This window comes from Homo sapiens, chromosome 4, assembly GCF_000001405.40.
Source record: "Homo sapiens chromosome 4, GRCh38.p14 Primary Assembly".
NCBI classification, from domain to species: Eukaryota; Metazoa; Chordata; class Mammalia; order Primates; family Hominidae; genus Homo; species Homo sapiens.
The window spans coordinates 37,589,116-37,609,993 of NC_000004.12; the positions used below are offsets into that span (position 1 = coordinate 37,589,116).

Below are 20,878 nucleotides of genomic sequence, written 5' to 3' on the forward strand. Positions count from 1 at the left end.
GAACACCATCATTTTCTGAGGCTGAATTTGGTCTGGGTTTCTGAGGATGCCTGAAATGGCATCGCTGAAAATAAATCACCCCAATCACATATGTGCTTTTAATTTTGTCCACATTGCATTTCAGAAAATTGTGAGTAACGTGAACATAAACTTCTAACTAAGAAAAAGGGTAACTGATGATCTTGCTTTCTTAACAAATATACTGTCTTTTTAATCATAGTTCTATTCTAGACCTATATATAAATAAGCTGTATTCCACTGTAATCATACTGTGATGTTTGGCTTTATTCAAAAACTATGTATTGTAAGTATCATTCCTGTGACTACAGACTTCATATTTATCATTTTAGTGACTGCATAATATTCCACTGAGAGGATATACTCCTTATGGCCCTGTTAGTGGACATTTGTTTTATTTGTTTTTTATTTTAAAATTCTATGAACCACTTTGTATTTTACTTCACCCCTTACCCCTCCTTCCTCCTTTTGGCTCTCTTCTTAAGAGTATTTCAGGCAGAACCTTGTTTATCTTTTTCAAGACTGTCTCGCTCTGTCATCCAGGCTGGAGTGCAGGGGCGTGATCTCAGCTCACTGCAGCCTCCGCCTCCCAGGTTCAAGCGATTCTCCTATCTCAGCCTCCCGAGTAGCTGGGATTACAGGTGCCTACCACCTCACCCAGCTAATTTTTGTATTTTTAGTAAAGATGGGGTTTCACCATGTCGGTCAGGCTGGTCTCGAACTCCTGACCTCAAGTGATCCACCCGCCTTGGCCACCCAAATTGCTGAGATTACAGGCGTGAGCCACCAAACATTTTTATACCAACTATATCTATTTGATTTAGACATACTTATCTAGGTTGAAAAGTAATCACAGAAATTAAATTAGCAGGAATCGTAGAAAGAAGCAGGGCCTGTGGTAAAAAGCATTAATGATGGAGCAGACCTGACTGGTTTTCATTGTCTTTCCTGAAGCTATCTCTTTGATCCAGTTCAAGTGCCCTCTCCTGGCTATGTCAATGAAGTCAACAGCTGCAAGCTAGATGAAGACGACACTGATAAATTAAAAGGCAAATGGAGCAGTGAAGTCTTGGTGCAGAAAAATGACCCTCAGAGGCAGGGCTCAAAGAAGACTGAGAGCAGCAGCAGGACAGCTGATCCATGGGAGCCCTGCTGGCCTCACCAAGGGCCGCTCCCACAGGGGGACGCTGGAGGGGAACACCATGCCTGCGGTGTCAACGGCATCGGCCCTGCTGCCACTCCACAGCCCACTGGGAATTCCAGCCCCACCCAGGATGACAGGGGCTCCTGGGCCAGTACTGCAAATACTGTTCCCCCAACTCAACCCTTCCTGGAAGGAGGGGGCACCAGGAAACAGGACTGTGTGCTGCTGGCCTCAGAAGGGACCCAAGTCATGAGAAATGGAGACTCCAGAGCTCCTTCTGAGGCAGAAAGTTTTGCCTTGGAAGTACAAGACCATGTCTTCCAGATACCAGCCCCAGATTACCTTCAGCATTGGGGCCCAGCTGGAGACAACGTTGATCATAATGAAAAGGACTGTGTTTTCAAGAACCATACTGAGGATGAATCCCTAGAGGGAATTCAGCCCCCAGTGGGGGAGCATGGTTTGAATACGCCCTTCTCTGTGAGGAGAAGCTGGGATTCATTGAATGAGGATGTGGAAACAGAAGTTCTAAGCATCTGCTTTAATGAGAAGGGTCCTGTTCATGCCATGCCTGTGGTTGACTCAGGAAACAGGCAGGAGGATACCCATGGCTCCGATGGAGATGGGGATGGGGAGATTGTGGACGAGGATGCAGCGGTGGCGGAGGCCCTTGCAGCTTTAGAAGCTGCTACTGCAGGAGAAGATTTGGATGAGACTGATTAGGGGAGGGGATTTGCACAGGGAGGTAAGCTGGTGTCATGCTGAGCATGCAGATGCATTTGCTCCCTGGATGCATAGCAGGTGATTCTGCCAGCATGCACCAGTGCAGCCTTACCAGTTGTTTACATCCAGCATCTGTTCTGATTGTCAGCATCTGTCCCATGCTGCTTGTCACATATCTGGAGTTTCACTCTGTGTAGATGAGCTGTCATTCAGGACACTAGGAGAAAAATCTGAGTGGGTCATTGTGCCCATATCCACAGAAAATGCAGAAGTTGAACAGCTTGCTTGACAACCCTCAAACATCTTTGAGCACCTGGTACAGATGTTTATGAGAATACTCTAAGATCTCAACCCTTGATCCCAAAGGCACACAATCACAGAGCATTCCTTTTGACTGTAAACTGTTTACCTTGCTTTTGAGAGCCAAACATTGTACCCAACCTGGAAAAAGTAACTACCCCAATTAAAGTGCCTCATGTGTCCCCAGAGCATGGCTTAACTTCAGGGACAATCACCCAGGGAACTAATAACTAACCAGTTGTTCAACAGCGGGTTAAGCTCAGCAGTTTTCACAGTAGAGCAGAAGTCCCCAGGAAACAAAGGGTTAGTCATTAGCTGAGATGTTGATTTTAAAACACCTTGACCTTAACTTTTTTACATTATTACTTTTAAATCTCCTTTGGGATTGGGGAGGCTGGCCAAAATAAGTCTTAAAACTGCTTATGTCATATTTGGATTTTAAGTTCATGACATTCGGAACAGCAAAGCCATATATGCAATGTTTTTATGCCATTAAATGTCTGATTCCAATTAAAATATAACAACGTATGTGTCTTTCTAGAAGTCTTAACTCAAAGGTGGTTCTAATTTTCTCAGAATATCAGTGACCCTGGATGTTACTTTCAATGTAAAGAACTAATCTAGATGGCCGGGCGTGGTGGCTCATGCCTGTAATCCCAGCACTTTGGGAGGCCGAGGCGGGTGGATCACAAGGTCAGGAGTTCAAGATCAGCCTGGCCAACATAGTGAAACCCTGTCTCTACTAAAAATACAAAAAATTATCCGGGCACGGTGGCGGGCGCCTGTAATCCCAGCTACTTGGGAGGCTGAGGCAAGGAGAATCACTTGAACCTGGGAGGTGGAGGTTGCAGTGAGCTGAGATCGTGCCACTGCACTCCAGCCTGGGTGACAGTGCAAGACTCCATCTCAAAAAAAAAAAAAAAAAAAAGAGCTAAGCTAGGCACAGTGGCTCATGTCTGTAATCTGAGCACTTTGGAAGGCTGAGGTGAGAGGATTGCCAGGGCCAGGAATTCGAGACCAACCTGGGCAATTTAGCGAGACCCCATCTCTATGAAAAAAAAAAAAAAAAAAAGAGCTAGACTACAAAATTATACTCAAGGAAGGGACCGAGCTGGTTTGCAGAGCCATAGCTTTGGCTTTCTCTCTGTCAAACTTGATGCCATAACTAAATGTCCTGATCTTACCTCAAAGATGAACAAGCCCTCTCTGGATTTCAGCCTTCTAATTCACTGAAACAAGGACAACCATTCTAACGTAACTCAATGGAGAATTTAAAGGCATTAAGGATGCTCAAAACTATCTAGAAAAAAATAAACATGGAAGATGCTTTAGTTTGGTGTTTTGTAACACAGAATTGAAATCTGACTGAACTTCATTTGATTTCCAGCTTTGCCATGTGACCTTGGACAAGTTATGTATCCCTTTACCCATCTGTAAAGTGAGAAGAATAATTGTATGTGCTTGTAAAGGTTAAATGAGATGATGTAAGTGTTTAGCACAGTGCTTGGCACACTAGGCACTCAAAAATGATGTTTTACTAGTTGAAAACAATTCCTTTAACAAACATTTTTACATCCCCACAACTGAAAACTCTAAAACTGGGAAGTATGTATAATGTCATTATTTGACTTTGGCAATTATTTAGTATAAAACATGATTTCTGAGCCTTCCAGCACCTTTAAGGACGGCACCCTTACAAATGCTTAATGAGCCTATGGGTTTGTTTGGTACTGTAATGACAAGCCATCGCAAGTGACCTCTATATACAGGGTCACTCAGAGCCCTTAAAAAGATAAAGTCTTGGCATTGTTAATTGCATTAGAGGTATGTCTCCTTTTGTATTTAGTACACCAAATACTTAATATTTCAGAATGCTTATTCCTTCAATGATTTCCTAAGTGTATCAGTTGAGATTATGTTCAGTTGTATGGGACGAGTGTTTTATACAAATAGAGGCTTATTTACCTCTTATGTAAAAGAAGTCTGGAGTTAGTGATCCAGGGTGGTAGAGAATGTATCACTGGCCCGTGTATCAATGACCCACATATCAATGACCCACGTATCAATGACCCGCATATGAATGACCCATGCTGCTTCAATCATTTTGGTTTCCTTCTCAAGATCACTTTGTAGTCCATAATGGCTGCTGTGGCTTCAGTCATTACATTTGCATTCCATGTTGGAAAAAGAATAAAGGAATAAAAACCCCACTCACTCTCTATTAAGGACCCCACAGAAGTATAATTCATCCCTTCCACATTACTCTCTTTGGTCAAAATCTGGTCACTTGGCCACATCTAGCTGCAAGAGAGACTAGGAAATCGTCTTGCTAGTGGTGTGCGTGGCTTTGCCAAATAAACTCAGAATGCAGTTACTAAGAAGGGGAAATGGACAATGAGTTTCGAGGCGGTCAGTTTACAGTCTCTGCCACAGGAGGTCTCAAAACCCAAAAGCCTGGGATACAGCTGGTTTCAAAAGATTGGAAGATCGTGTGTACATTCAGTGTGACACCAAAGGGGCTTCCACCTTTGGTCCGGGGGAAGGAGGACTGGACAGCTACCGCTGCTCCAACTTCCCATTGATAACTCCAAACCGGACGAAAAGAAGAAATTCAGACAAAGAAGGGGTAGGGTAAGGTATCAGGGCAGACAAGTCTCTTTCTCTTACCCAGACACACACTTTCGCATTTATATATGTATATAATTTTACATCTTAGAACAGCTGCAGAGTTCACCATAACTGACAGCTCTGTAGTTTTAAAGATTCTCTTTTATGAATAACTGCTTTGAAAAGGTCGACAGATGGCCAATACTTTCAAGAGTTCTTTAAAAGTAATTCTGGCCCCTTTCATCTTTACTCCAGTATCCAGGATCCCCCAAAGGAAATGAAAGTAAAAAATCTTTAGGTTGAAAAGTAATTCCAGCTTTTAGCCTTATCTACCAGGTTGTCTAACAGTGAGCTGTCTGAGCACGCTTATGTGTGTAGTGTCTTCTTTCTGCAGCCTAGTGCCACCTCTTGTCAGAAAAGTGATGTTGAAAATAGCCAACCTTTTCAAACATTGTGGACAATATGAAAGCACAATGCACTCTGATTGGAAGGCACTAACTGTGATTAGGGGCAGACTTCACAGTTCCCCATGAACCTTAGGCAATTGCATCACGTGGATATTTACCATGTTAAATCCTGATTTTGAATTAAGATTATTTTATGTATATATTACATATAGGTTTCTTGAGCTAAGAAGTTAGATTTAACTTTTTACTGGGGGAAAATGAACTATCATATAAATATGAAATTAAATTTTTTCCCCTCATTGCCAAAGCAGATGTAGTGAATAGTTATAACTGGAAAAACCAGATACCCAAAAAAACGAAGAGAATTTTAGGTTTCTTACATAGCACATGCCCATCTGTCCATGCTCAGTAAGTGCTGGCCATTCGTCATTTTCCTCCCTCTGCCCCGCTCTGTCTCTCTGATTCTCTTCTCTTCCTACCTCTCCCATCCGTACCTCCAAGCAGGAGGCCTTAGAAAGAATGAATGAGACACCAGATGCAAGTGCAAGTGCAAAGATCTCCTGACTTCCCTGGTTTGGTCGTCTGTGTGCAACCATGCAGCAGATAGAGCACAGTCACTACTGCAGCACAGGATATAGCCTCCTTTCCTGGACTTGGACTTAACTCTTCATCAAGGGCACTGCTTTTCACACAACCAGGCTTTATGACGAAAACGTAGAAATTAATTGCTTTCTGGTCTTGTTTCATTTTTTTTCTCTAGATTAAACCTCATGCATTTTTAAATCCTCTATTTTGGAGTTGGTGACAAACACAGACAAGCTGACATCTGTTTTTCATGGTAAATCCTTTCCCTGTTAACTAATAGAACAATAAGTCATTCATTTATAGATTTACTAAATTTGTAAGTTTCTCATATGTATCAGGTTATACAAACCACACCTAAGTGGTCTGCTAACTTCTGAAGCACTCCCAGCCACTTTAAGAAACATTTTATGCAAGTCAATGTGTTGATCGTAGATGATGCTTACCTGCACATTTAGTCACTTGGAGTCAACTATTAGCAATTTTTTTCAACTGAAATATCTGTACTAAAAAAATGCGTTTGGCCTGAGATCTAAGTTAGTGTACGGCACAAGGGGGGAACTCAATACATATTTGTTGATTGAAAGAATACATAAAAGAAGTCTGGAGTTAGTGATCTTTTCCCGGTCTGGTTGGGGAGATATCATGCAGGTAGCCAGGATTGTGCTGGATTGTGACATGGTGTAATAAAGGTATACATGGTGTAATAAAGGATGTGGGAGCACAAATCCATAGGAATTTGAGAGTTTAGGAATTGTATTTATTATTCAGGCCCTTCACTCTCAGACTACCCTGCTCTATTTGAATAATGAGGCTTGTGGTGGTCTGTGGAAAAGTGGACAGAGTAGAATTTGGGCAGCTGCTGAAGGTTTGGTCTCTAGAATGAGTCCACGTTACCCTAAGGACGGTAATCCCAAATTGAGACAAAAACTTTAAGAAAACCAATGTTTGGGGCCAAGCAATGGGGAGCTTGGCCGACCTCGTTTTTTAGTGATTTTGAACTCAATCTTTAAAATCCTGGAAGAGAAGGAAAAAAAGGGTGTATATTCGTGTAATGACATCCAGATCTCACCGTTCTCTTGGCTCCTAGTGATGGGGGAAAAAAGGTGCGCCCAGGGTTGACCCTTCAGTAACACCTGCAGCCATGCGTCATGACCTCCAGGTGTTCAGAGGCCCTGCCCATGTGACACGTGCCTGGTACTTCCCATACATGTGCCTCTTTAATCCTAATAAACCTGGGGTGAAATCCGGCTGTGCCTCTTGCTCGCTGTGTGACCTTTTGACTTTAAGTTCCTTAACGTTTCTGAGCCTCACTTTTCTCATCTGTGAAATGGGGATCATTCCTATTTCTAAGAATTGAAAGCGCACATTCTCAAACTTCAGTGTGCCCCTGAGGCATGTGGTGTGCTTGTTTAAAAGGCAGATTTCTGGACCTACCTCTAGGAATTCAGACTTAGGAGGTCTTGAGTGGGGTCCTGGCATCTACATCGTTTTTGTAAGTAATTCTCCGCACTTGGAGAAACACATAAGACTCCAGCAGGGATTGCCACACCTTTTTTTTATCTTGCACCAGTTATCAGTAAAAAGTACTGCACACACCCTTAATATAAGCACTTTTACAACCATACTGTCTTCTAATATGTTATATGGTTTACAGTATTTAGCAATACTAAGATGAAGTAACAACATATCAGAGCATTAATATTTTTTTCACTCCCCTGGGGTATGTGAAACCTACTTTGGAAACCACTGGTTTAGAAGATCAAATGAACTAGTATATATAAAAGCTCTCTGTAAATAGACAAAACTGGGCATATATATATATATATATATATATATATTTTTTTTTTTTTTTTTTTTTTTTTTTTTGAGATGGAGATTCATTCTTGTTGCCCAGGCTGGAGTGCAATGGCACGATCTTGGCTCACTGCAACCTCTGCCTCCTGGGTTCAAGCGATTCTCCTGCCTCAGCCTCCCACGTAGCTGGAATTACAGGCACGCGCCACCACGCCCAGCTAATTCTGTATTTTTACTGGAGACAGGGTTTTGCCATGTTGGTCAGGCTGGTCTCGAACTCCCCACCTCAGGTGATCTGCCCACCTTGACCTCCCAAAGTGCTGGGATTACAGGCGTGAGTCACCGCGCCCAGCCCGGGCCAATATTTTTGAAAGCACATAGAGCATACACATGAGTGTGGACCACGCACTTATAATATAAGCCCACTTGCAAATCCAGTCAACACCACTGACCTGCAACTCTTCCTCCTCACCTGTGCTGCCCTCTGAGCCTTGTTCCTAGGAGACTTCTGTATTTACTGCCTTTAAGCATTTTGGAATAGTTAATACAGAACTAAGGGAAAATATGACCTAGAGACCAAAAGGCAGACAAAGAATTTTACTTATCTCCCTAATCAAAACTACACATTCCAAACTAAAATGAGTGAGGCCTTTGAGGAACAGGCTAATTAGAATACTTGTTTAGTCAGAATCTGGCTACTTTGAAAGCACAACAATGCAATTTCTCTTGACATAAGTTACCAACTTAAAATCCCACACAAAAAAATCCATTTCTAGGTCCAACTCATTCTTTTCCATTCTCCAAAATATTCCTAAAGCTATGGAGAAAGGTAAACCTCAGAATTTACATAAATCAGGAAGAGTTCACAGGCCACAGAAGGTCCATAGCCTCTACTCATCAGCCGACGTGCTGCTCTCTCTGTCTTAGATGTTGATGCTTAGAAAGGAAACAAAAGCTTTAAATTACCAATTTCTGAAGACACAAGATCTAAGGTCCAAGGTTTTCATGGCATCAGCCATAAGCCGGGTGACAAACCATCAAGGACTGTTGTGGTTTTTAAATTAAAATTTACAGGGGCTGGGTGCCGTGGCTCATGCCTGTAATCCCAGCACTTTGGGAGGCCGAGGCAGGCGGATCACTTGAGGTCAGGAGTTCAAGACCAGCCGGGCCAAAATGGCGAAACCCTGTCTCTACTAAAAATAAAAAAATTAGCCAGGGCTGGTGGTGCTCGCCTGTAATCCCAGCTACTTGGGAGGCTGAGGCAGGAGAATTGCTTGAACCCAGGAGGCAGAGGTTGCAGTGAGCTGAGATCGTGCTGGTGCACTCCAGCCTACATATATATATACACATATATATAAAATGATATGTAATATATATATATCATAATATATATATATATATAACTCCTCCTATAGCTACTTTTCTGCAAATAACTGCATTAGTCATGAGTTCTTTTTGTTGGTTTTGTTGGTTGGCTGCAAATGACAGAAACCCAAACTAGATAACAAAAGAATTTCCTTGAATGTTCTGTTCTGGGAAACAAAGTGCAACTCTGTCTCAAAAAAAAAAAAAAAAAAAAAAAAAAAAAAAAGTTTATAGGAAGAAAATATATAGAGAAAAAATCTGCAAAGACATTACTTCAAAATAATTTGCCAAATATTAACGTAGAAATTGTATTCAGTAATTAATTTCTGGGAGCCAACAAGTTATGGGTTTTGGTATTTTGTTGTTGTTTTTAGTATTTTTATAGGTATGACTATAGCTTAACATTTTCAGTACTGCTATGTGTTAAGCACCAAATGCAGTCAGCCTTGTTCTAAGTACTGCACGTGAATCATCTCACTGAAGTCTACCGTGACGCCATGAGCTATAGGTATGATTGTCCCCATTTCACACATGGGAAAATGGAGGCTCAAACAGCTAAATAACTCATCCAGAATCACACAACCAGACAGTGGCAGAATCTCAACTGAACCCAGACTGAACAACAAACCGGTGCTTTTTTTTTTGAGATGGAGTCTCGCTCTGTCACCCAGGCTGGAGTGCAGTGGTGTGATCTCAGCTCACTATAACCTCTGCCTCCCAGCTTCAAGCGATTCTCCTGTCTCAGCCTCCCGAGTAGCTGGGATTACAAGCGTGCACCACCATGCCCAGCTAGTTTTTTGTATTTTAGTAGAGACAAGGTTTCACCGTGTTGCCCAGGCTGGTCTCGAACTCCTGAGCTCAGGCAATCCACCCACCTCACCCTCCCAAAGTGCTAGGATTACAGGCGTGAGCCACCGCGCCTGGCCCAAACCTGTGCTTTTAAAGGTGACATAATATGCCTCTCTGTGGCAACATCCATGTTGCCATTAGACAAAGATAAGGGCTGAATCAAAATGTGAGACAACCCAATTTTGTATATGTAAAATTGTATGTATTGTCAATTGGGATTAAAAGGGGGTTTTGTTCTGGTTCTAAGGAAGATTGTAATAAAGAATAGAAAAGTTAGTCAAGGCCTTGTAACCATAATAGGTCTGCTGCCCAACGTGCCGCAAGTCAATAGCTGAGACACGGGGTTGCCGCAGAGCAAGAGGTTTAATGGGAGGGCCGCTGAACGAGGAGATGGAAGGAAACCTCAAATCTGTCTCCCTGAGGAGTTTGGGGCTAGGCATTTTAAAGGGTTTGGAGTAAGCCTAAGTGTGGTGATAGTTGATTGGTCGAAGAGTACAGGGTGAAGTCATGGGACAGGGTGATGAAGAAACTGTATTCTCATGCTGATCCCATTTGTCTGGGTGGGTTGGCTGTCAGCTGTTTCACTGGAATTTGGGGGAAAACACCTTAAGCAATTCTAACAAAAGCTTTATGATTCTAATGTCAGAAATCCTATCTATAGGAACAATGGGGATGCACATGGCCAGGATCTAGTGCTACTACAGGACTTTTGGTGACAAGGAAGTGGGCCAAAGTACAGCCTGATTAATGCTTAATCCAGAATTCTTGTTAACCCTGTGAGGACAGCTTCAGCTTTATCTGTAAAATCTCTGAGACTGTCTACTGTCAATGGTATTTTTGCGGCAATCGTAAGACCATGAATTTCCTTTCCCTACAAAGGTTGAGGCAGATCCAGGGGCCATATGTCCCCACCCATGAACCACCCCTACATAGCTTAAGATTCCTTTCCTCAGTTTCATCATCTGTATAGTGGAGGTGATGGCTAGGCCCCTCTCTCGGCCATAATGAGATTTAAATGAGATAAAAAGTGCTTAGCACGTACCCAGCACAAAGTAAACAATAAATGTTAGATGTAATTTTGTCCGAGTACAGTGGCTCACGCCTGTAAACCCAGCACTCCGGGAGGCCGAGGCAGGCGCATCACTTGATGTCAGGAATTCAAGACCAGCCTGGCCAACGTGGCAAAACCCTGTCTCTACTAAAAATATAAAAATTAGCCAGGCGTGGTGGTGCACACCTGTAATCCCAGCTACTCTGGAGGCTGAGGCAGGAGAATTGCTTTAATCCAGGGGGCGGAGGTTGCAGTGAGCCAAGATTGCGCCACTGCACTCCAGCCTGGGTGACAGAGCGAGACTCCATCTCAAAAAAAAAAAAAAAAAAAAAAGTTAGATGTACTTTTATTATCCAGCGAAGGTCACTGGCCCACTTCTATGAGTAACACTCAATGCTTTTTTAAATAACTAGATCTTTGTTGCTACCCACCAAAGCTGTATGAATCACTTCTAATAATACTAATTTCTAAACTGGGTAAGTTCTGTTCTACCTACATCATTAATAATCGTCTAAAGGCAAAAATGCATCTTGGGGGCACTTCAATTTTAGTGTATTTTTATTCTCATTATCTTCATCATTTAACAATTGTAGAACACACGGGAATTTATCCTTTGAACTTTAAGTCACATTGCATTTGAAGTGAATATTTATAGCATTAAAATTGACCTTTCTTTTATCTTTCCTCATGCCCCAAATAAGATTTTATAAAATAAAATGCATTTTTAATACAAAACAGAAACCATGGAAGATTTGGGAGGGTTGATTGGTTATTTTGGAGAGGTTGTGTCTGGCTTGGGTTTTATTTAGTATGGATTTGTGCGTGTGTGTGTGTGTGTGTGTGTGTGTAGTTTTTGTTTGATTTGGTCAACACTAATATTCATCTGTAATAAGTAAACCCATATATTTTTTCAATTTGGGTATAATGTTATGATTTCAAGAGTATTTTGTCTATGATTTCTCAGCTAGATTAACTTAGGAATGAAAATAAATTGAGTTACTTTTAAACTCACTGAGATGCCTATGCTACATGCACATCTTGTCATAAAAGGGTTAAGATAAAATTTCAGCCTGAACAAACAGAGGAAGAGACCATGCTCCTTAGCTGGTAGATCTGGGTTCATTCAACATCAGTCAAGGCAAGAAAGTCATTCTTTCCAATAAGGCAGTTGACCTGCCATCAGGAGAACCTCAGGCCCCATAGGCTTTGCAGTTACATCTTGTACCTGGTTCCGCCCCCAGCCCACCTTCGAATGTTATAAACAATATGGCTGTGGCAGAAACATCAAAAACTAACTCTCAAAAGGCAAAATCCCCATCATTTATTCCACTACAGAGGGTTGGAACTTGGCATCTCTGTGGCCAATAGATTGTTCTGTTTCATCTGAGAGACCACTGAGTGAGCACTGACTGTGCCTGGCCTGTACTAAGTGCATTACACATCTGAGCTCATATGATCCTCACAACCACCCTAAAAGGCACATATTATCTTCATTCTGTAGTTAGAAGACGGGGTCCAAAGAGTTTAAGGTCACAGACAGCAAAGGCATCTGAATGCCAAATCTGTGCTCTTATCGGGAGCTGTAAGAATGAGCCCTGTGCCAATCCAGGAAAGATGGTGAAAGGAAATTCTCCTGAAGCAATAAAAGGAAAAGGGTTTGCAAAAGCATTTCACAACAGAAACCGCACCATGGCCAGGCCTTCTGGCGATGGAGTGAAGGCAGCTCTAGGAAGTCTCAGCTGCAGGGCTGGATGCCAGAGCTTCACTTTCCATGTGGCTCTATAACTCCTCCTATAGCTACGTTTCTGCAAATAACTGCATTAGTCATGAGTTCTTTTTGTTGGTTTGGTTGGTTGGTTGCAAATGACAGAAACCCAAACTAGATAACAAAAGAATTTCCTTGAAATGTTCGTGAAGTTCAGAAGGGCAACTAGGCCTTGGGGACAACTGAATCTGGGGCTTGAAAGCAACCAGGCTGGGCACAGTGGCTCATGCCTGTAGTTCCAGCACTTTGGGAGGCTGAGGTGGGCAGATCGTTTGAGCTCAGGAGTTCGAGACCAGCCTGGGCAACGTGAAAAAAACCTGTCTCTTTGAAAAATACAAAATAAAGTAGCTGAGCATGATGGCCTGTGCCTGCAGTCCCAGCTACTTGGGAGGCTCAGGTGGGAGGATTGCTTGAGCCTGGGAGGTCGAGGCTCTGGTGAGCCATGATTGTGCCACTGCATTCAAGCCTAGGTGACAGAGTGAGACTCTGTCTCAAACCAAAAAAAAAAAAAAAAAAGCAACCAGCACTGCCTGTCTTCCCTCCGCACATTCCCTCCCTTTCATCACACCAGGAAAGAAGACTACACAGCAGGAAATATGGTCTTCACCAGCCCCTAGCCCACAGCTTTAGCCACCAGAGCAATAAACCATTTTTTCCAGCCCATTTGCTGGAGAAAATGGTTTATTGCTCTGGCGGCTAATGCTGTACCTTTAGCCATGGGAACCCTCATGGGCTTCCCCATGAGGCTATGGAACTCTGTGGCTCAGTTCCACAGCAAGCAACTGGCCGGCTCAACTCGACTCAGACAAAGTTGTGTGTGCTGGACCAGTCACAGCCACTCTGATCAGCCGTGGGGGATGGACGCATGTAGACCCTTCACCAAGTTACCAAACATGCCGCTTACAGCAGTCGCGCCCTCGGTAGGGGTGGATGAGAAGACAGAGGATTTGCAGGCATTTTTCTGATCCTTAAAACTCCTGTGAGACAGGTCATTTTACAGATGGCATTGAGGCTCAGAAAGATAAGATACCTTTCTCAATGTCACACAGTGGTGAGTGTGGGGCTCAAACGCAACAGCAAAGGTCGTGCCTACTTCTCTGAGACCACACCACTTCCATGACAGCATTCAGCGCGCGGGGTTCCCTCCAAAGCGGAACCGAATCATTCTCACCAGTATCCAGGTAACACCTGCAGTGACACAAGCTCCCAGGTGAGAAAATGGAGCGTCCGATGAGAAAAACAATAAAGACAAACTGGCAGTGCCAGAAAATCAGTTAGAAAAAAACTAGACTTGAACCTTTACTCTCACAAAATAGCTAATGGTAGTCTTTCGTTTTTAAAGGTGGGCTTTTGTTTATTTATTCATTCAGCAAAAAATCACGAGTACTTTCTGCAACACCAGGGCTTGAAGGAAGATACAGCACCAACCCCCCAACGGCCGTGCAGTTCTCCGATTCGGCCAGCAGAGGGAGCGAAGGGCCAGCTCTGTGGGAGGACCTGCAGAGCTGGACACCAGCTGAACCGCGTGGGCAGCCACACCACCCCCTGGCCACGCCACAAAATGCCCAAGACAAAGAAGTCCCAGCTGTCCTTTAGGTGTTTAGAGCTACAGTGAGGGTACCCTGGGGAGATCTGAGAACAGTCCTGCAGCATGGTTCTGGGAAGATGAGGAGAGGAGGGAATCCTTGGGTAGAACCAACATGCCCCACCCAGACTAAAGGGTCGGAGGATCTAAGAACTGGCAAGTCAAACCTCAGATACAAAACATAGTCCTCTTTGACCACACAACACGCCCTCAGTGATACTATGCACTAAATCGCGCGACGCCATTTCCAAGCCCCCAACTCTACTGTCCTCAGTGAGACAGAAGGAAGGGTTCCCCGCCTTTTGGGGTGGAGGAAGCCTGGATGTGAAGACAGATTTGAAAAAGAAGTGCAGGAGCATTCAAGACCATGGGCAGGCCCCCTGGCAAATTCACCCAGGGGGCTGGTGGAGACTATATTTCCTGCTGTGTAGTCTTCTTTCCTGGTGTGAGGAAAGGGAGGGAATGTGCAGAGGGAAAACAGGCAGTGCTGGTTGCTTTTTTTTGTTGTTGTTGTTTGTTTGTTTGTTTGAGACAGAGTCTCACTCTGTCACCTAGGCTTGAATGCAATGGCACAATTATGGCTCGCCAGAGCCTTGACCTCGCAGGCTTAAGCAATCCTCCCATCTGAGCCTCCCAAGTAGCTGGGACTGCAGGCACGGGCCATCATGCTCGGCTACTTTCTTTTGTATTTTTCAAAGAGTCAGGGTTTTTTCACGTTGCCCAGGCTGGTCTCAAACTCCTGAGCTCAAGCAATCTGCCCACCTTGGCCTCCCAAAGTGCTGGAACTGCCAGGGTGGGGAGCTTGCTGAACCAATTGTTCAGGGCCAGCGTTGTGAGGCTAGCGTCCGTCACCATGGGGAACAGAAGGGTCATATGTGCCACATTGCCAGCTGCCCACTACTCCCCTAATGAGCCAAGAAAGACATGAAAGCCAGTTAGTGACCAAACGTCCCCATTCTACATTACACATGTACTAGAGGGGATATCAAAAAGGCCAATTAACCAAAAACTAAGCCCGTCGTCCCCAAGTGACCCCTTTCAACTATAAATCGGGATTGGAGGAATTCTAACATCCATCCTAGTGCACACATTCTGAGTTTCTGGTTCTCATGTTGTGACTTGGTCACAAATGACCAAATCAACCTTTCCACTTCCTCAGCATAAGCTGTTATTGATCATCTTGTTTTCAAGGACATACACACGCGCACACACACACGCACACTCCAAATCAGAATCCTATGAGGTACCACACAGAGTGAAGTTTGCTGTCTATACATTTTAAAAATCTCAACCAGGATATGAAGGAGAGATGGAATGCAGATGGTGACAAATGACTCTGTGTTACAAATGAGTCACATTACCATGCAGAAGCGGGTGGGGAACAAAGGAGCTGACTTAAGAAACTTTGGCAAATACAGTTTTGACAGAATACTGTAAGGCTAAAAACAAGAACCACACACACACACAGACACACACAGACACACACACAGACACACACACAGACACACACACAGACACACACATACACACAGACACACACACAGACACACACACACAGACACACACACACATACACACAGACACACACACAGACACACACACACACACACAGACACACACACACAGACACACACATACACACACAGAGACACACACATACACACAGTACTTCAGTTGGAAAGTGTGTTTCTCACAGTAATATATTTTCAAACTACTTAATATGTATGCTAGTGTTGAATAAACATGTAAAAATATCATAGATAATAAGAGCCAGGTTTCCTCACTGTTGGAGAAGAAAGTTACAAATAAGGAAAGCAGGAAGCTTAGAACGAGTACTATGGAGCAAGCCTGGAGTCAGAAGTAGCAGTGTGGGCACATGCTTTTGTTTTACAGATAGATACAAAAAATACATAAAGATGTGTGTATCCGCATGGGTTGGTGTGTGTGTATGTATATATGTGTGTACAGGGGGCCTAGTAGCTGTGACATCCCAGCATCAATGAGGACACCTAGTCCTCTTTATTTCTAAACATCATTGTCCAATAAAAGGAACCAGGGCTCCTTGGGTTAGTGGTTGATTTCAGGGCTGGGGCAAGGAAAATACAAGACAAGATGAACCTGGAGAATCTTGTGGTGCCAGAAAGTAATAAAGGGCTTTCAAAAAAGAAAGGACCTGTAATCCTAGCACTTTGGAAGGCTGAGGTAGGTGGATCACTTGAGGCCAGGAGTTCAAAACCAGCCTGGCCAACATGGTGAAACCCTGTCTCTACTAAAAATACAAAATGTAGCCAGGTGTGGTGGCGTATGCTTGTAATCCCAGCTACTCAGGAGGCTGAGGCAGAAGAACCACTTGAGCCTGGGAGGCAAACGTTGCAGCGAGTCGAGATTGTACCACTGCACTCTGGCCTGGGCGACAGAGTGAGACTTTGTCAAGAAAGAAAGAAAAAGAATAAAGAAAGAGAGAGAGAGAGAGAGAGAAAGAAAGAGAAAGAAAGAAAGAAAGAAAGAAAGAAAGAAAGAAAGAAAGAAAGAAAGAAGGAAAAGAAAAGAAAAGAAAGAGAAAGGAAAGAAGGAAAGAAAGAGAAAGAAAGGAAGAAAGAGGAAGGAAGGGAGGGAGGGAGAGAGAGAAGGAGAGAAAGAGGAAGGGAAGGAGAGAGGGAGGGAGGAAGGAAGGGAAGAAGGAAGAGAGGGTAGAAGAAAGGAGGAAGAGAAAGAGAAGGAAGGAGAAAGAAAGAAAAAGAAGAAAGGGAAGGAAGGAAAAAGATGCAAGAAAGGGGAAGGATGGAAGGCAAGAAGAAGGAGGAGGAGGAGAAGGAGGAGGAGAAGGAAGGAAGGGAGAGAGAGAAAGAAAAGAAAGAAAAAAAGGAGAAAGAAGAAAGAAAGAGAAAGAAGAAAGAAAGAAGGAAAGAAAGAAAAAGGAAAGAAGACAAGAGAAAGAAAGAAAGAGTGTGTAATAGGTGGAGGAAGGAGAAAAGTAAAGGATGGAACCACATCAAGGGACATGGGCACCAACCTGAAAGGGCTCCTACCACAGACATAGCCACTGCAGCCAGGATCCACCAATGGTTGGTGTGGTGGGTTGAATGATATCCCCCACAAGACCTGTTGATGTTGAAGTCCTACCTTCTGAGACCTGTGGATATGACCTTATCAGGAAATGGGTTCTCTGCAAATGTAATCAAGTTAAGATAAAGTCATACTGGATTAGGGTGGACCCTAAACCCAATGCCTGGTGTCCTTGTAAGAGCAGAGGACTCCCTCACACAGGAAAGAAGACACAGAATGCCAGAATTGCCAGCAACCATCAGAAGCTGGGAGGGAGGCATGGGCCAGATTATACCCCAGAGATATCAGAAGGAATCAACCCTGCAGACACCTTGACTTCAGGGTCTGGCTTTTTAGACTGTGAAAGAATACACTTCTGTGTTCTGGGGCACCCAGGTTTTGGTAATTTGTTATGGTAGCCCTAGAAAACTCATACAGATGGTAAAATTAATGTGTGAAAGTTTAAGCAGAAATAAGATATTGGCCTAATCTCTAAGTATCTCCCATCTAATATTCATTAATTACAAAGGGAAAATAGTAACTTTACCAAAATGAAACCTGGCAGACACCACCTTGGGCAATGATGAAGATTGACATCACGGGTAATATGTACCATCACGTTCCTGACATGATTCAATGGGAAGGGCACATCACCTGTATGGTGTCCCTTCCCTTATGCAAAACCTCCGTCTAATCACAAGAATCAGCTGAAACACCTAGGTTGAGGGAGAGTCTACAAAAGAACTGATCAGTACATTCGAGTGTCAAGATCACGAAACACAAGAAAAGACTAAAGGGCAACCACAGATCAGAGGGGACAGGATCCAACAACTAAATGCAGTGGGTGATCCTGGAACAGCAGGGGGACATTAGTGAGACAATGGATGCAATCCAAAGAACGTTGTGGTTTAATGAATGGTACTGTACCACTGTTAGTTTTTTAGTTGTGATCACTTTTTTATAGTTAAGATGGTAACATACGGGGAAATGGAGGGAAGGGTTTACATGAACTCTGTACTGCTTTTGCAACTCTTCTACAAGTCCAAAATTATCTTCAAATTTAAAAAGCAGTAACAGGCATACCTCATTTTATTGCACTTTGCTGTAGTGTGCTTTGCAGATATTGTAGGGTTTTCTTGTTTGTTTTTGTTTTGTTTTTTAATGAACCGTACGTGTGTGGCAACCCTGCAAGTCGAGAAGGTCCATCAGCACTTTTCTTTCTTTTCTTTTTTTTTTTTTTTTTTGAGGTGGAGTCTTGCTCTGTCGCCCAGGCAGGAGTGCAGCGGCACAATCTCAGCTCACTGCAACCTCCTCTTCCCAGGTTCAAGCAATTCCCCTGCCTCAGCCTCCCAAGTAGCTGGGGATATAGACACGCACCACCACACCTGGCTAATTTTTTTCTTTTTTTTGTATGTTAGTAAAGACAAGGTTTCACCATGGTGGCCAGGATGGTCTCGGTCTCCTGACCTCGTGATCCGCCTGCCTCGGCCTCCCAAAGTGCAGGGATTACAGGCGTGAGCCACTGCGCCCAGCCATCAGCACCACTTTTCCAACAGCATGTGCTCACTCATGTCCCTGTGTCACATATGGGTAATTCTTGAAATATTTCAAACTTTTCAATTAATTATTATTATATCTATTATAGTGATCCGTGATCAGCGATTTCTGATGTTACTATTGTAATTGTTTTGGGATGACATGAACTGTGCCCACATAAAATGACAAACTTAATCTGTAAATGCTGTGCATGTGTGTTCCAACTGCCCGACCAACCAGCCGTTCCCGTCTCTCTCCCTCTCCTCAGGCCTCCCTATTCCCTGAGACAAAATATTAAAATTAGGCCAGTTAGTAACCCTACAATGGCTTCTCACTGCTCAAGTGAAAGGAAGGGTCACATGCATCTCACCTTAAATAAAAAGCTAGAAATGATTAAGGCGTGTCAAAAGCCGAGACAGGCAGAAAATTAGGCCTCCTGTACCAAATAGTTAAGTTGTGAATGCAAAGCAAAGCAAAAGTTTTGAAGAAAATTTAAAATGCTACTCTAGCAAATACACGAATGATAAGAAAGTGCAACAGCCTTATTGCTGATACGGAGACAGATTCAGTGGCCTGGATAAAAAAATCAAACCAGCCACAACATTCCCTTAAGCCCAAGCCTAATACAGAGCAAGGTCCTAACTCTTCAGTTCTATAATGACTGAAAGAAGTGAGGAAGCTGCAGAAAAAAGGTAGGAAGCTGCAGAAAAAAGGTTGGAAGCCAGCAGACGTTGGTTCATAAGATTTTTAAATTTAATTTTTTTTTTTTTTTTTGAGACAGAGTCTAGCTCTGTCACCCAGGCTGGTGTGCAGTGACTGCAATCTCTATCTCCCGGATTCAAGTGATCCTTCTACTGCAGCCTCCTGAGTAGCTGAGATTACAGGTGTGCACCATTATGCCCAGCTAGTTTTTGTATTTTTAGTGGAGACAGGGTTTCGCCGTGTTGGCCAGGTTGGTCTCAAACTCCTGACCTCAAGCAATCAGCCCGCCTCAGCCTCCCAAAGTGCTGGGATTACAGGCATGAGCCACTGCACCCAGCCAGTTCATAAGGATTAACTAAAGAAACCATTGCCATTATACAGAAGTACAAAGTGAAGCAGCAAGTGCTAATTTAGAAACTGCAGTAAATAATCCAGAAAATCTAGGTAAGATCATGGATGAAGGTGGCTAAATGAAAAAACAGATTTGGAAGGAGATGACATCTAGGATTTTCATAGTTGAGAAGTCAATGCCTGGCTTCAAAACCTCAAAAGCACAGGCTCTCATTTTAGGGGCTAACATAGCTGTCAACTTTAGGTTGAAGCCAATGCTCATTTACCATCTTGAAAATCATAAGGCCCTTAAGAATTATGCTAAATCGACTCTGCCTGTAAACAGCCTAGATAACAGCACATCTGTTGACAGCATGGTTTACTGAACATTTAAAGCCCACTGTTGAGACCTACTGCTCAGAAAAAAAGATTCCATTCAAAATAATAACTCATTGACAAGGACCTGGTCAGTTACCCAAGAGCTCTTATGGAGATGTACAAAGGGAGAAATGCTTTCATGCCTGCTAACACAACATCCATTCTGCAGCCCATAGATTAATTCCCACTTTCAAGTCTAATTATTTAAGAAAGGCATTTCATAAGGCTACAGCCGCCGTAGACAGTGATTCCTCTAGTGGACCTCAGTAAAGTCAATTGAAATCTTCTGGAAGGAATTCACCATTCTAGATGCCATTAAGAACATTTTTGATTCACAGGAGGTAAAAATAGAGACATTAACAGGAGTCTGGAAGTTGATTCCAACCCTCACAGATGACTTGGAGGGGTTCAAGACTTCAGTGGAGGAAGTCACTGCAGATGTGGTGGAAACAGCAGCAGAACTAGAATCAGAAGTGAGCATGAAGATTGAACTGAATTGCTGCCATCTCATGATAAAACTTGAATAGATGAGGAATTGCTTAACAGATGATGAAAGAAAGTGGTTTCCTGAGATGGCATCTACTCCTGGTGAAGATGCTGTGAACACTGTTGAAATGACAGCAAAGGATTTAGAATATAATAATACATAAACTTAGTTGATAAAGCAGCATCAGATTTTGAGATGATTGACTCC

General features: G+C 43.2%; 2 protein-coding genes across 12 annotated transcripts in view, besides 3 other annotated features; one reads left to right on the forward strand and one right to left on the reverse strand.

Moving 5' to 3' along the window:
* The window catches only part of PGCKA1 (PDCD10 and GCKIII kinases associated 1), a 140,256-nt gene extending 135,861 nt beyond the window's left edge, over positions 1-4,395 (forward strand). For all 5 annotated transcript variants that reach the window (XM_011513713.3, XM_011513712.3, NM_001104629.2 and 2 more), the window contains one exon: positions 973-4,395. In XM_011513713.3, coding sequence (XP_011512015.1) covers positions 973-1,885 — 913 coding nt within the window. In that variant the 3' untranslated portion in view covers positions 1,886-4,395. The remainder of the gene's footprint in view (positions 1-972) is intronic.
* Positions 1-20,878, reverse strand: part of RELL1 (RELT like 1) — a 100,073-nt gene that overhangs the window by 2,812 nt on the left and 76,383 nt on the right. For 6 of the 7 annotated variants that reach the window (XR_007057961.1, XR_007057960.1, XR_007057958.1 and 3 more), the window contains exon 7: positions 1,998-2,102. The gene's annotated coding sequence lies outside the window, so the exon portion shown is untranslated. Of the gene's footprint in view, positions 1-1,688; positions 2,103-20,878 lie in introns of those variants that run through there. The other variant, NM_001085399.2, reaches the window with a different exon arrangement.
* Positions 721-1,221: an enhancer, noted in NCBI's record as "H3K4me1 hESC enhancer chr4:37591458-37591958 (GRCh37/hg19 assembly coordinates)". NCBI's record gives its function as "activates a minimal SCP1, AML or CMV promoter by ChIP-STARR-seq in primed H9 embryonic stem cells {active_cell/tissue: H9 hESC(primed)}" and the evidence as "EXISTENCE:reporter gene assay evidence [ECO:0000049][PMID:30033119]".
* Positions 1,222-1,722: an enhancer, noted in NCBI's record as "H3K4me1 hESC enhancer chr4:37591959-37592459 (GRCh37/hg19 assembly coordinates)". NCBI's record gives its function as "activates a minimal SCP1, AML or CMV promoter by ChIP-STARR-seq in primed H9 embryonic stem cells {active_cell/tissue: H9 hESC(primed)}" and the evidence as "EXISTENCE:reporter gene assay evidence [ECO:0000049][PMID:30033119]".
* Positions 17,766-18,405: an enhancer, noted in NCBI's record as "OCT4-NANOG hESC enhancer chr4:37608503-37609142 (GRCh37/hg19 assembly coordinates)". NCBI's record gives its function as "activates a minimal SCP1, AML or CMV promoter by ChIP-STARR-seq in naive H9 embryonic stem cells {active_cell/tissue: H9 hESC(naive)}" and the evidence as "EXISTENCE:reporter gene assay evidence [ECO:0000049][PMID:30033119]".